A 15,035-nucleotide genomic window follows, 5' to 3' on the forward strand; every position below is an offset into this window, starting at 1 on the left:
ATCTCAAGAAAATTTAACAGGAATTAAAAAAAGAAAAAAAAGCCAACTCTCCATAGAAAATAATTTGGAAATTCATATCAGACAGAAGCTCCAAAATTCCACTCCAGAGAGCAGGGATATGGTCATTTTAGCCTGGAAAAAGTTGAAGGCATATCTAATCAAAAGATACTCTCAGACTGTTGAAACAAAGCACCCAGAGAATATCCAGCTTTGAGAACTGCTGCTTCCTGGTATACTCTCCAAAATTATCTTGCTGCAAAATGTAGCTGAAGTCACGAAGAAAGCAACTTCCACAGCAAGGAAGCAGCTACAACAGTGAAAGCTGGACCTCCAGGGACCTACCATCTATACCTGCAGACAACATCTGCATACGTGATCCAAGTTGTCCCATAAAAAAAAAAAAAAAGACAGAATCAACATCTCTATAGTCTCAATATCTTTGTCCTCCAAAACTCATATGTTGAAATTCTAACTCCCAAGATGATAGCATTAGGAGGTGGGCCTTTTGGAGGAGATTAGGTCACAAAAGTAGAGCCCTCAAGAATAAGATTAGTGTCCTTAGAAAAGGGGCCCCAGAGAGCTGGCTTACCCCTTCTGCCATGTGAGGATACAGTGAGAAGATGACCATGTACACACCAGGAAATGGGCCCTCACCAGACATCCAGTCTGCCAGTGCCTTGATCTTGGACTTCCCAGCCCCCAGAACTGTGAGCAATAAACGTCTGTAGCTGATAAGCTACCCAGTTGGTGGCATTTTGTTATAGCAGCTCAAATAGCTGAAGACAAACATAGCAGCCATAAAACAGGATTTGTCTTGCTCCCTCTCATCTGCTATTCCAGGGCCTCAACACCAACCAGCAGCTCACCCTGCCCCTGAGGATAGCTCACGTGGGTGTGTGGGCACATCTTCCCAGACACTGTGACAGGCCATCCTCCACCTCCCCTCCTCTGGCTCCCTGCCCACTGCCACCAAGGGTCTGATGTTTGTGCCAAGGCCTCTGCTGCCCACAAACCCCATGTGTCACCCCATGGTGCTGGGAACCACGGGGCTCTGTGGTGGCTTCCTCTCCCGCTTCCCACTCTGCCTGCTGCTCCCAGGAGCTCCAACAGTAACTGTTGTTGGAACAGTGATTGCTGAGGGACCAGAGGGTCTCCCAGTGAAATTGCCTTTTCACTTTCTATTTGAAGCCCCTCTTCTCCAGAACGTTGGCACAAATCCATGAGGACTTGATTGAGAACAGATCCCTGCATCTCCAAGTGGGAGGCATTGGCTCTGAATCTAGCCTGTGGCCTTGGTTCTTTCTTCTTCGTTGATGTTTTTTTCCTCCTTAGTTCCTCAGCCAAACAGACCCTTGGTAATAATTCTATGAAAGATGTAAGGGGAGAGGAGGGAGAAGAAGGGTGAAAGCATGCAGCCTCTAAGTTTCGAGAAAGAAACATTTTGCCCAGCCACGTTGGCCAGCACATGCTCCAGGGAAAATGGAAGACAGAATGAACCTCAGAGGGTATTGGTGCACAGAAGCCGCACGGACCTTCTAGGAGAGTGTGGTTCAGGCATGGGTGCAACTGAGAGGTCAGAAATGAAGACACTGGGCTGAGTCAGAGGGACTTGTAGGAAAGAGAAGAAGGTAACACTCCAGGTCTCAGGCCTTGAGTACCATGCCAAGCAGCTGTTGACAACAAATCCAGTTCTAGGAATCTCTCCAACACCCCTATTCACACATGTCCTGTGGCAGTTGTACTCCAAGCCTGGTTCATCTACCATTCCAGCCATGATCTTCCTTGTCTTCCTCTACAGCTGAGCCTATAAAATGAAACCTATCTATCCCCAGCCTCCTTTAAGCCTCAGATCGCCATGTGCACAGTCTGGCCATTTGAATAGAAACAGTTCCTGTGAAGGGGGCTTTTCCTCCATCCTCCCCACCCAGCCCCCAAATGCAGTGTCTCAAAAGAAGAAAGTGTTTGGCTTGACTCTTTTACCTTTGGGCATCTTCCTTCCTGGCTGAAATACAGGTGCAGCCAAGATATGTCAACTGACTTGTGACCAGGAGGACCAAGCCACACCCTAGGAGGGCAAAACAGAAAAAGGCTGCTTCCTTCCTAACATCTGTTGGCGGCAGCCCCAGCCCTGGACTGTCTACCGGCAGATGTCCTGTTACCCTGACAAGAAGGAAGGATGGAAGGGAGGCGGGAAGGAAGGAAGATCCAAGGACAGAGGGAAGAATTATGTTGAAAGATTATAATTGGATTGTTTATTACTTGCAGGAAAATGCATTGCCAGACACCATAGGATCATTTGTAATATCAAAAAAACTGGAGGCCTGGCACGATGGCTCATGCCTGTAATCCCAACACTTTGGGAGGCCAAGGTAGGCAGATCACTTGAGGTCAGGAGTTCGAGGACAACCTGGCCAACATGGCGAAACTCCCATCTCTACTAAAAATACAAAAAAATGTTAGCCAGGCATGGTGGCAGGTGCCTGTAATCCAAGCTACTTGGGAGGCTGATGAAGGAGAATCGCTTGAACCTGGGAGGCAGAGGTTGCAGTGAGCTGAGATCACACCACTGCACTCCAGCCTCGGCAACACAGTGGGACTCCATCTCAAAAAAAATTAGAAATAATTGATATGGAAGTGGTAACATAAATTATGAGCCATCCACGATATAAAATACTATGTAGTGATGAAGTACACACATATATAGAGTGACATGGAAAGATCCCTGGGCCACACTGTCAAGTGAAACAAACCAGTCTACAGAACAATCCAGGTGCTCCTTGACTAACAGGGGGTTGCGTCCCAATAAACACATCGAAAGTTGAAAATATTGTAAGTTGAAAATACATTTAGTCCACCTAACCTACTGAACATCTCAGCCTGGCCTACCTTAAACGTGCTCAGAACACTCACATTAGCCTATGGTGGGGCAAAATCATCTCGTACAAAGCCTATTTTACACTAAAATGTTGAATATCTCATGGAATTTGTTGACTAGCGTACTGAAAGTGAAAAGCAGAATGGGTGTTCAAAGTATGGTTTCTGTGAAATGGGTATCACTTTTATACCATCATAAAATAAAAACACTGTAAGTTGGGGAACGTCTGTATATAGTATTGACCTGCTTATGTGATTTTTTAAATTATGCGTGTACATATATATCCCTATGCATCTAACTATGCATCTAGATAGAAGGAGAAGTATATATACCAACTGTTAACAATGGTTATTTCTGGGATTGTGGGAGAGTAGGGATGGGCTGGGGTGAAGAGGGCTTTCATGAAAACTATAGAGTGAAAAACCCTATTGTTCTGAGGGAAAAGCAATTAAAAAGCATAGTGTTGGTTTCCTCCCTTCCCCTTTGGTAATTAATTTCTTCTGACCCTGAAGAGAAGACAATGTCTTGGGAGATCATCCTCTAGATGGCTTTGACTCTAGACTTCCAAACACCCACCTTCCACCATAGAAAGAAAGACCCATGGCTGTGTGGACAGGGAACCCATCTGAACTGCCACATTGATGCCATTAATGCTGGGCTTCTGCCCTTCCTTCTGGAAACCTAGAAATGGAGATCTTATACTTCAATCAAACCAGCAATTGGGCCATTCAAATAACTGCTTTTATGATACCCCAAATCCAGCCAAAACACTCCCACCCCATTCTGGTGGATGGCTCTCCACCATCCTGGCAAACCTGGCCCACACAACCTGCTACCAGTAACGCTGGGGGAAATTTTCTTGGACCCCAGCTCTCTCTTCCTCTCCTGAACTGGCAGTCTAAGTCAAGAATATTCCCTGTCACTTCTCCACAGCACCAGGAAGGGGCCTGGGGGGAGGAATGTGCCTGACTTTTTGGGCTCTGCTAAGTGTGGGTCTGTCTGATGCCATGAATGGGCCGAATGGACGTGGCCTAAGCATTACACAGCTCCTCGAAGGGATCACTGCTGTGTAATTCACACCACAATGGGCATGAGGGAGAGCATTTTCAAAAGTGGTTCCAATTAATGACTGTCCAGGGACATTCACAAGGCACAGGTCCCTGAGCACAGAGCCCTGGCTGGCATGGTGAGGTCCCACGGTGGTGAGACCATTGCAGAGGCCCATTGAGGGGAAAGAATCCACACGGACACTCATGGCTAGAGCTAACTGAAACCCTTCAGAAGCATTATGTTAAGGAAGTGCAAATTATTATTATTATTATTTTTGAGACAGAGTTTCCCTCTTGTTGCCCAGGCTAGAATGCAGTGGTGCGATCTCAGCTCATGGCAACCTCCATCTCCCAGGTTCAAGCGATTCTCCTGCCTCAACCTCCCGAGTAGCTGGGATTACAGGCACCCGCCATGATGCCTGGCTAATTTTTTGTATTTTTAGTAGAGATGGGGTTTCGTCTTGTTGGCCAGGCTGGTCTCGAACTCCTGACTGCAGGTGATCCACCCACCTCAGCCTCCCAAAGTGCTGGGATTACAGGTGTGAGCCACCATGCCCAGCCATAGGAAGTGCAAATTAATAATGGTGCACAGAAGTTGAAGAGAGGGGTGGGAGCAGACAATTTCATTTCAAAGTCGGCACAAGGTCCTGTGAGAGAAGGACAGAACTGAGGTGGCCCCTGCACAGCAATCTTAGAGGCACGGGGACGGCCTCTGGGTAACCACTCTCAGCCTGGAACTCACCGGAGAATGAGGGGACACCACAGAGTCCCCTCTCAGTGGATTTCCTGCATCTTACAGCCAAGTCCCACTTCAGCCCAGTACTCCATCCAGGAAGCCTTTCCTGGCTACCTACTGTGCAAAACCTTGAGGTGGGAGATGCAGAGGGCCCCTTGGTGCCTGTGCACCCAGGCAAGGGGCACTGCTCAGCCCCGCAGCAGCCCTGGGGAAGCTGTCACCGGCAGAGCAACTGCAAGGACCAGGGAGCTCTGCATAGAGGAAGAACGACAATGCCACAAACAATAGCTGAGCACAGGTAGAGCGTGACCAGGGAGAGCGCGGATGCTGGCGCAGGAAGGCTCTGAGGAAGGCTGCACACACAGGATGGCCCTCTCCAGCTTCACGTCCTCAGGGTTACAGATACAGCCGGGGCTGGTGGTCACAGCAAGCACCCTCCATCCTCTGCTCTGCTCCTAAGGGCCCCTTCTGATGTCCAGCCTGGGGCCTTTGCTAGGTCAGAGCCAAGGGGATCCGTGGGAAGCATGTGATGGGGCAGGGCAGAGGGCTGGGGCGAGGGTGGAGTTCAGCACAGGAGGTGTGTCACAGTTGGGGCGTAGTTGTTAAGTGTGGCCTCATGTGTGTTAAGTGTCACGCATGGGGTTGTGCATGGTGTAGGAGCTGAGTTGTGGTGGACTGTGGAGTGTGGTGTAGGAGCTGTGTTGCAGTGAGACGGAGCAGGAACCCCCTGTTAAGGGCCTGCTGGGCACACCCTCCCCACACCCAAACGTGGACATTTTTTAAAATCTTAGGCCTGGCGTGGTGGCTCACACCTGTAATCCCAGCACTTTGGGAGGCCAAGGCAAGTGGATTACCTGAGGTCAGGAGTTCAAGACCAGCCTGACCAACATGGTGAAACCTCATCTCCACTAAATACAAAAAATTAGCCAGGTGTGGTGGTGGGCGCCTGTAATCCCAGCTACTCAGGAGGCCGAAGCAGGAGAAGTGCTTGAACCCAGGAGGCTGAGGTTGCATTGAGCGGAGATTGCACCATTGCACTCCAGCCTAGGAGAAAGAGCAAGACTCCATCTCAAAAAAAAAAAAATCTTAAATTCCTTCAAGAACAATTTCAGGTATCTAGCTGGCCCTAAAAAATAAACAAACAACTTAAAATTCCAGGTACCCAGCTAGCCTTAAAAAATAAACAATTCAGGAAACAAGAAGGTAATAGTGGCTTAAAACAATGGCCAAAAAAGTTAGAGTCAAAAATGTTTGGTTCCCTTTAGAGACTAAAGATAACATCTTAACATATGTCCCTGAGTTGTTTTACAGAAACCCAGACCCCCACCAGGCAGACTCACTGGCAAACAGACCTCAGATAAGGGGAGCAGAGGATTCAGCTCTGATCCCTGTTCTTTGTTCTAAATTCCTTCCTGAGGGGCCTGGAGGAAGTCACACCCATGAGCTGGAGCTAACATTCTTTTCTGTTGATCTGAAATTTTTATTGTATTTTATGTTTATTTTTGAGAGGGAGTCTCACTCTGTCTCCCAGGCTGGAGAGCAATGGCACAATCTTGGCTCGCTGCAACCTCTGCCTCTCAGGTTCCAGCAATTCTCCTTCCTCAGCCTCCCAAGTAGCTGGGATTACAGGCGTGCCCCACCACACCCAGCTAATTTTTTGTATTTTTAGTAGAGAGGTGGGTTTCACCATGTTGGCCAGGCTGGTCTCAAACTCCTGACCTCAGGTGATCCTCCCACCTCGGCCTCCCAGAGTACTGGGATTACAGGCGTGAGCCATCGCGCCCAGCTGATCTGAAATTTTTAGACAAAACTTTGTCTCCCTAACCAATTGCAAATCAGAAAATCCTTAAATCCACCTATGGCCTGTAGGCCCCCCTGCCTGGAGATGTCCCCACTTTTTAGTTCAATGCAATGGATAGCTGCCTTGTATTGATTTATGACTTTGCCCATAACCTCTGCCTCCCTGCCTTTAAAAAGCCTAACCTGTAAGCCCTCTGGGAGGTTGGGACTTAAGTGTGAGCTGCCTGGTCCTCCTTGCTTGGCACCCTGCAAATAAAAGCCTTCCTTTCTCCTGCTGCAAACCTCGGTGTAGATATCTGGTCTTACTGCACTGGGGCAAGGTATAACAGGAGTGCAGTGTTGTGTATGGGGTAGGAGCTGTATTGTGGTGTAGTGTCCTGTGTCATGTAGGAGCTGAGTCCTGGTGTAGGGTCATGCATAGACTAGGAGCTGATTCATGGTGTAGGGTCATGCACGGATTAGGAGCTGAGTTGTGGTATAAAGTCATGCATGGATTAGGAGCTGAGTTGTGGTGGAGGGTCATGCATGGATTAAGAGCTGAGTTGTGGTAGAGGGTCATGCATGGATTAAGAGCTGAGTTGTGGTATAAGGTCGCACATGGATTAGGAGCTGAGTTGTGGTATAGGGTCATGCATGGATTAGGAGCTGAGTTGTGGTGTAGGGTCATGCACGGATTAAGAGCTGAGTTGTGGTGGAGGGTCATGCATGGATTAGGAGCTGAGTTGTGGTGGAGGGTCATGCACGGATTAAGAGCTGAGTTGTGGTGGAGGGTCATGCACGGATTAAGAGCTGAGTTGTGGTGTAGGGTCATGCATGGATTAAGAGCTGAGTTGTGGTATAGGGTCAAGCATGGATTAAGAGCTGAGTTGTGGTGGAGGGTCATGCATGGATTAAGAGCTGAGTTGTGGTGTAGGGTCATGCATGGATTAAGAGCTGAGTTGTGGTGTAAGGTCATGCATGGATTAAGAGCTGAGTTGTGGTGTAGGGTCATGCATGGATTAGGAGCTGAGTTGTGGTGTAGGGTCATGCATGGATTAAGAGCTGAGTTGTGGTGTAGGGTCATGCATGGATTAAGAGCTGAGTTGTGGTATAGGGTCATGCATGGATTAAGAGCTGAGTTGTGGTGTAGGGTCACGCATGGATTAGGAGCTGAGTTGTGGTATAGGGTCATGCATGGATTAGGAGCTGAGTTGTGGTGTAGGGTCATGCATGGATTAAGAGCTGAGTTGTGGTGTAGGGTCATGCATGGATTAGGAGCTGAGTTGTGGTGTAGGGTCATGCATGGATTAAGAGCTGAGTTGTGGTGTAGGGTCATGCATGGATTAAGAGCTGAGTTGTGGTGTAGGGTCATGCATGGATTAGGAGCTGAGTTGTGGTGTAGGGTCATGCATGGATTAGGAGCTGAGTTGTGGTGTAGGGTCATGCATGGATTAAGAGCTGAGTTGTGGTGTAGGGTCACGCATGGATTAGGAGCTGAGTTGTGGTGTAGGGTCACGCATGGATTAGGAGCTGAGTTGTGGTGTAGGGTCATGCATGGATTAGGAGCTGAGTTGTGGTGTAGGGTCATGCATGGATTAGGAGCTGAGTTGTGGTGTAGGGTCATGCATGGATTAAGAGCTGAGTTGTGGTGTAGGGTCATGCATGGATTAAGAGCTGAGTTGTGGTGTAAGGTCATGCATGGATTAAGAGCTGAGTTGTGGTGTAGGGTCATGCATGGATTAAGAGCTGAGTTGTGGTGTAAGGTCATGCATGGATTAAGAGCTGAGTTGTGGTGTAAGGTCATGCATGGATTAAGAGCTGAGTTGTGGTGTAGGGTCATACATGGATTAAGAGCTGAGTTGTGGTGTAAGATCATGCGCGGATTAAGAGCTGAGTTGTGGTGTAGGGTCATACATGGATTAGGAGCTGAGTTGTGGTGTAAGGTCGCACATGGATTAAGCGCTGAGTTGTGGTGTAGGGTCACGCATGGATTAGGAGCTGAGTTGTGGTGTAGGGTCATGCATGGATTAGGAGCTGAGTTGTGGTGTAAGGTCGCACATGGATTAAGAGCTGAGTTGTGGTGTAGGGTCACGCATGGATTAGGAGCTGAGTTGTGGTGTAGGGTCATGCATGGATTAGGAGCTGAGTTGTGGTGTAGGGTCATGCATGGATTAGGAGCTGAGTCATTGTATAAGGTCATGCATGGATTGCTGAGTCGTGGTGTGGTGTTGGGTGGAGTCTGGTTGCCATTGCATTGCACTATATCATGGTGATCCCAGAGCTGCCCAGGAATGCCATTCCCCTCCCCCTTCTCCTCCCAACTCCTTCCCACCTCCAACCCCCTCGCCAACCTGGGAGGCTGCAATGATGCTATTTGCTAAGGAGGGTTGGAGGGCCATTCAAACATGGGACTGAGGGGGCCACACAGATCTCCCTCCCTCATCCTGGGCCACTTCTCCTGTCTTGAAGCCCCGAGGAAGCTGAACTCACCCATCAGTCTCTCTCATCCGTTGGCCACCTGCTGTCCCCACCCACCCACCAAACTGGTGCTTTTAATGGAATCAGCTTTAAAAAGAAAAAAATCCTCCAAGTAACAAAGCACCCTATAATTATTCCGCAGCTCCTTGTCCTCGGTAATTTTAGGCTTGTGCTGCTATCATTACACATTACATGGAGTTAGGGAGTCATAGCTCTTGTGTGGCCAATCAGTGATACATCTGCAGGATTTCCAAATGGAAGGGAAAGTCCAGGCGCATCCTGGTGGATGGGCTGATGGGGCCTTGATGACTGCGGCTCCTCCAGACCCCAAGCACACACGGGAGTGCCGGTGCCTCCAGGGAGGGCCAGCAGGAGGCGCTGGGGACAAGTGTGCACTCGGTGCCCACAGGGCACCAGGCCCTGGTTTATTCAAGAGCACAGTGTGTAGAACCCCACTCCCCTCCCCACACCTCCAATCTCAGCCTCCCGTCCATGCTCGCCTCTGCAAATGGCTCAAATCCCTCCAGCTTCTCCTCCTCTCCATTGAGCTCGCTCTGTCCCCAGGCCTCCCCTGGAACCCTGATCCAGCCCTCCCCTGGCCTGCCATGGTCATATGTCCTTCTCACAAGCCTCTGGTGATTTTTTTTAGAGGCGAATCTGCTAATACCACTTCCTGCTTAGTGTTCTTCACCGGCTTATCACTGCCTTCAGGAGAAAATTCAGAATCCCTGCAGAGGGGATTCGCCGCCAACCGTGCTCCTCCTGACTTCATCAGGAGGGCAGGAGGGATAGATGGGTGCAGTGAAGGTGGGACTCCCCAGGGAGGAAGGCTGGGGAGGGGAGGCGGATGCTGGAGCCGGCCCAAGCCCAGGCTGCCATCACCACACCGTGTACTCAGGGCCCTGGCCTCTTTCCCTGGCAGGAGGTGTGGGAGCTGCCTCAGGTATCTTAGGTGGGGCTCGAGACTTCTCAGCCCTGCCTACTTCCTCACTTCCTCACTTCTTTGCTCCCTTTTTAGCAAACGATCAGGAAACAACCATAAGCATTCTCCGTTGAGCAGCCCATGACACTGCTCTGCCTACGGAGTAGCTGTTCCTTTTGCTTCTTGACTTCCTTTACAAACTTGCTTTCACTTTACGGCCTTGCCCCAAAGTCTTTCTTGCATGAAATCCAAGAATCCACTCTTGGGGTCTGGATCAGGGCCCCTTTCCAGTAACAAACCCATTACACCTACTATGGCAAAATCATGCCGGATATTTACCTATGTCACGCAATCAACTTTGAGTCATGGTTCTTATCTTCAATATTCAACAGGGAAACTGAGGCTTGAAGAGACTGAGTAATCCCCAAGACCACACAAGTGCTGGGTCTGTCACCAGCATCTTGCTCATCTTACTCCACTGTGCTGTCACTAAAATGTAGTCCTTCCCAGGATGGTGTCCACAGCAGGGGAAGTGGCCCAAGCTCTGCCCAGCTCTCTCACCATGGGCCTTGTCCAGGATCTGTGTCTGAATTGGGGGAAGAGGAGGGAACAGCCTAAATGACTGAATATTATATAAACCTGGATGACAGTGAAGGAAATCAAAACATTTTCTACTCCAAAATATATTTCTTTGACATATTTTGAGATAGCTGTCAGAGGGCCAGCTCAATGAAGCAGCCCTGCAAAGCTGTCTTTTTTGGGGAAAATGTGCATCTGTAGAAAAGTCTGCAATGATGCAGCCAGACCTTCCCTTGTCTAGAACTACAAAAGATGAACTGAGAGACTGAGACCTTTAAACGTCAGAAAGAAACATTTCCCATCTATTCTCTCTGGGGGCTGCTACCTGTGAGCTTTCATCTACATAATAAGACCGGCTTTGCTAGCCAGGCCTTTTCTTCTCCCCCTTCCATAACCATCTGGCCACTATAACCTGATTTACCACTATTTTTGACCATGCTCTGAGCCCACATTCCTTCTGTAACTTCAAGATGGTATACAAGCTTCACAATGGAGGTGGTCTTCCAGATGTTATATGAGCTTCTGCATGGGGGTGGTCTTCAAGATGGTATACAAGCTTCTGCATTGGGGGTGGTCTCCAAGATGGTATACAAGCTTCTGCATGGGGGTTGGTCTTTAAAATGGTATACAAGCTTCTGCACCGAGGTGGTCTTCCAGATGGTATATGAGCTTCTGCCTTGGGAGTAGTCTTTAAGATGGTATACAAGCTTCTGCATTGGGGGTGGTCTCTAAGATGGTATATGAGCTTCTGCCTTGGGGGTGGTCTCCAAGATGGTACACAAGCTTCTGCATTGGGGGTGGTCTCCAAGATGGTACACAAGCTTCTGCATTGGGGGTGGTCTTCCAGATGGTATATGAGCCTCTGCATGGGGATGGTCTTCCAGATGGTATACAAGCTTCTGCATTGGGGGTGGTCTTCATTCTGAAGGCTCCCGTGCACATGTTAACCATAAATGTATATGCCTTTTCTCCCATTAACTTGCTTTTTGTGAGTTGATTTTTCAGCAAACCTTCTGAGAGTGAAGGAGAGGCCTTCTTTTTGCCCCTACAACAGAAAGCAGAAACCACAGGGAAGCTGGCTGCAAGAGTCAGACCTCCTCTGCTAGCTAGGTAGGAGAAAGTCCATGACAAAGTCATGGCCACAAAGGTCTTATCTTTGTAGAGGCTGAAGGCAAAGAGAGAGCATTTTCAAAGGGTTCCCTTCATTCAAACCACCATTGAGCTCAACTGTGTGCAGGGCACTGTTTTGAGTCCTGGTTTTAAGAAAAAGCACATGGCCTTGGAGCTTTAAAGAGGGGTCAGTCCTCTGGCTGCAATATGAAGAGCAGATTTACAGAACAACAGAGGACATCGATCCTGCCTCAAAGACTTGGTGCAGAAATACAGGCCTGATGCAGTGGCTCATGCCTGTAATTCCAACACTTTGGGAGGCCGAGGTGGGTGGATCACCTGAGGTCAGGAGTTCAAGACCACCCTGGCCAACATGGTGAAACCCCATCTCTTCTAAAAATACAAAAAATTGGCCAGGCATGGTGGTGGGTGCCTGTAATCTCAGCTACTCGGGAGACTGAGGCAGGAGAATCGCTTGAACCTGTGAGGCAGAGCTTGTGGTGAGCCGAGGTGGGGCCACTGCACTCCAGCCTGGGTGACAAGGCGAGACTCCATCTCAAAAAAAAGAAAAAAAAATACAGGGGGAGAGGTAGAGAAAGTGACAACAAATGCATCACGAACAGCACAAAAAGAGGACTGCCCAGTACAGTGGCTCACGCCTGTAATCCCAGCACTTTGGGAGAAGGAGGCAGGCAGATCACTTGAGCTCAGGAGTTTGAGACCAACCTGGGCAACATGATGAAACCCCTGTCTCTACAAAAAAAAAGTACAAAAAATTAGCCAGGCATGGTGGTATACCTGTAGCGCCAGCTACTTGGGAGGCTGAGGTCGGGGGATCACCTGAACCCAGCCTGAGCCACAGAATGAGACCCTGTCTCAAAAAAAAAAAAAAAAAATTATGGTGATGTCCTCACAGAAAGAGAAACAACGGTGGTTCTCGGGGAACATCCTGGCCATAGGGACCACACAGAAGGAAAATGTGCCTGGACTAGAGCTTTCTCGACATGTGAATGAACCTCAAGGACAAAAGCTAACAGCATAGTTGGCCCAGAGAAAATCCGGTGACAGAGGCGTCAGGTAACTTGTTAAGCATCCCCACTCCTCATCCGCCATCTTGGGCTTCACTTCGAGGGCGAATGCCATGGTCTTTGACGGGAGAATTGACAGTGGTTCTCCGTGACTGCAGCCTGGAGAATGCCGCTGTGCATGGCTGATCTCGGGAGTGCACGATGAGGTCAGAGGCTCTGGATCTATCTGCAAATGTGTGAGGGTGACCTGGGCTGCTGGAGGGTCCCCAGGGAACACAGCCTCATTCCTTGGGTTCAGCTCTAGAGTCCCTACGTGTTCTCTGGAAGAAGCCACACACCACCTCCTACGTTTCCCAAGGAACAAAGGGAGGGAAAGGTTTTGCCCAACCAGTGAGCCATAGTCAGGAGCCCATGGGTGCTGTCCGTACGGTGACTCAGGTATTGGGTGGGATGAAGGTTGGGGAACCTATGGGTCTTCCCTGAGGCTTTCCTTCAGAAAGCCAAAGACATTCTTCTTTCTCTATTTTTTATCTTATTATTATTTTTTAGACAGGATTTCACTCTTGTTGCCTGGACTGGAGTGCAATGGTGTGATCTCGGCTCACTGCAACCTCCGCCTCGCAGGTTCAAGCAATTCTTCTGCCTCAGCCTCCTGAGTAGCTGGGATTACAGGTACCCGGCACCACGCCCAACTAATTTTTGTATTTTTAGTAGAGACGGAGTTTCACCATGTTGGCCAGGCTGGTCTCGAACTCCTGACCTCAGGTGATCTGCCTGCCTCAGCCTCCCAAAGTACTGGAATTACAGGTGTGAGCCACCGCACCTGGCCCCTTTTTGTTTTTTTTATGTTTAGAGACAGGGTCTCTGTCTGTCGCCCAGGCTGGAATGCAGTGGTGCAAACATAGCTCACTGCAGCCTCGGCCTCCCAACCTCAAGCGATCCTCCCATCTCAGCCTCTTGAGTAGCTGAGACTACAGACACTCACCACCATGCTCTGTTAATTCTTAATTTTGTTTTTAGAGACAGGGTCTCTAACAGGGCAAGTATGTTGCCCAGGTTAGCCTTCAACTCCTGGCCTCAACTGATCCCCCTGCCTGGGTCTCCCAAAGAGCTGGAATTACAGGTGTGAACTACCACACCACTGAGCCGGCCTCCTCTTGGGACCACTGGTTGACCCAAGACAGTATGTGAGACACACCCAAGGAGCGGTTGTATAGAAGCTACAGGAGAGGCTCACAGGAGGGGAAGAGCAGTGGAGGTAAAGTGGTTATGGAGGACACCCAGAAGAGGAGACTGAGCTAGACTTTATTTTTTATTTTTTATTATTTTTTTGTTTTATTGAGATAGAGTCTCACTCTGTTGCCCAGGCAGGAGTACAGTTGTGTGATCTCAGCTCACTACAACCTCCGCCTCCCGGGTTCAAGCAATTCTCGTGTCTCAGCCTCCCATGTAGCTGGGACTATAAGTACATGCCACCATGACCGGCTAATTTTTGTATTTTTAGGAGAGATGGGGTTTCACCATGTTGGCCAGGCTGGTCTCAAACTCCTGACCTCAGGTGATCCTCTGGCCTCAGCCTCCCAAAGTGCTGGGATTACAGGTGTGAGCCACCACACCTGGCCTGAGCTAGATTTTGAATTATGATTCCCAGTGGTTTCTACTTAGACATTAGAATCATTTCTTCCTTCCTTACCTGGTCGTTCATATTCTGTCCTCTTTGTGGGCACCTTTGATCTTCTTAATTTCCAAACATTGGCAGCCCCGGGGCTCAGTCCTCAATGTTCCTCCACACTCCATTGGTGCCCATTCCTCTGATGAGTGAAAAATCACCCACAAATAGACAACTCCTGACTGATATCTCTTTTTTTTGCTTTTTAGAGACAGAGTATTGCTCTGTTGCCCAGGCTGGAGTGTGGTGGCGCCATCAGAGCTCGTTGCAGCCTTCAACTCAAGCGATCAAGCGATCCTCCCACCCCAGCCTCCCAAGTAGCTGGGACTACAGACATGTGCCACTATGCTGTTAATTTTTAATTTTTTTGTAGAGACAAGGTCTTGTTAAGTTGGCCAGGGTGGTTTTGAACTCTGGACCTCAAGCAATCCTCCCACCTTGGCCCCCCAAAGTGCTGGCATTATAGGCGTGAGCCCCCACGCCCAGCCAGATCTCTCTTCCCAAGTCCAGACTTGAATATCTGACTCCTCATCAACAACTTCACTAGGATTTTGGGCACCTTTCAAACTTCTGTCAAAACTTGATATCTGATCCTTCCTTTTAGTTAATAACAACAGGCTGGGCATGGTGGTTCACACCTGTAATCCCAGCACTTTGGGAGGCCGAGGTGGGCAGATCACTTGAAGCCAGGAGTCCGAGACAACCTGGCCAACATTGCAAAACCCCCTATCTACTAAAAATACAAAAATTAGCCAGGTGCGGTGGTGCACACCTATAACCCCAGCTACTGAGGAGGCTGAGGCACAAGAA

Source organism: Homo sapiens, chromosome 10, assembly GCF_000001405.40.
Source record: "Homo sapiens chromosome 10, GRCh38.p14 Primary Assembly".
NCBI lineage: Eukaryota > Metazoa > Chordata > Mammalia > Primates > Hominidae > Homo > Homo sapiens.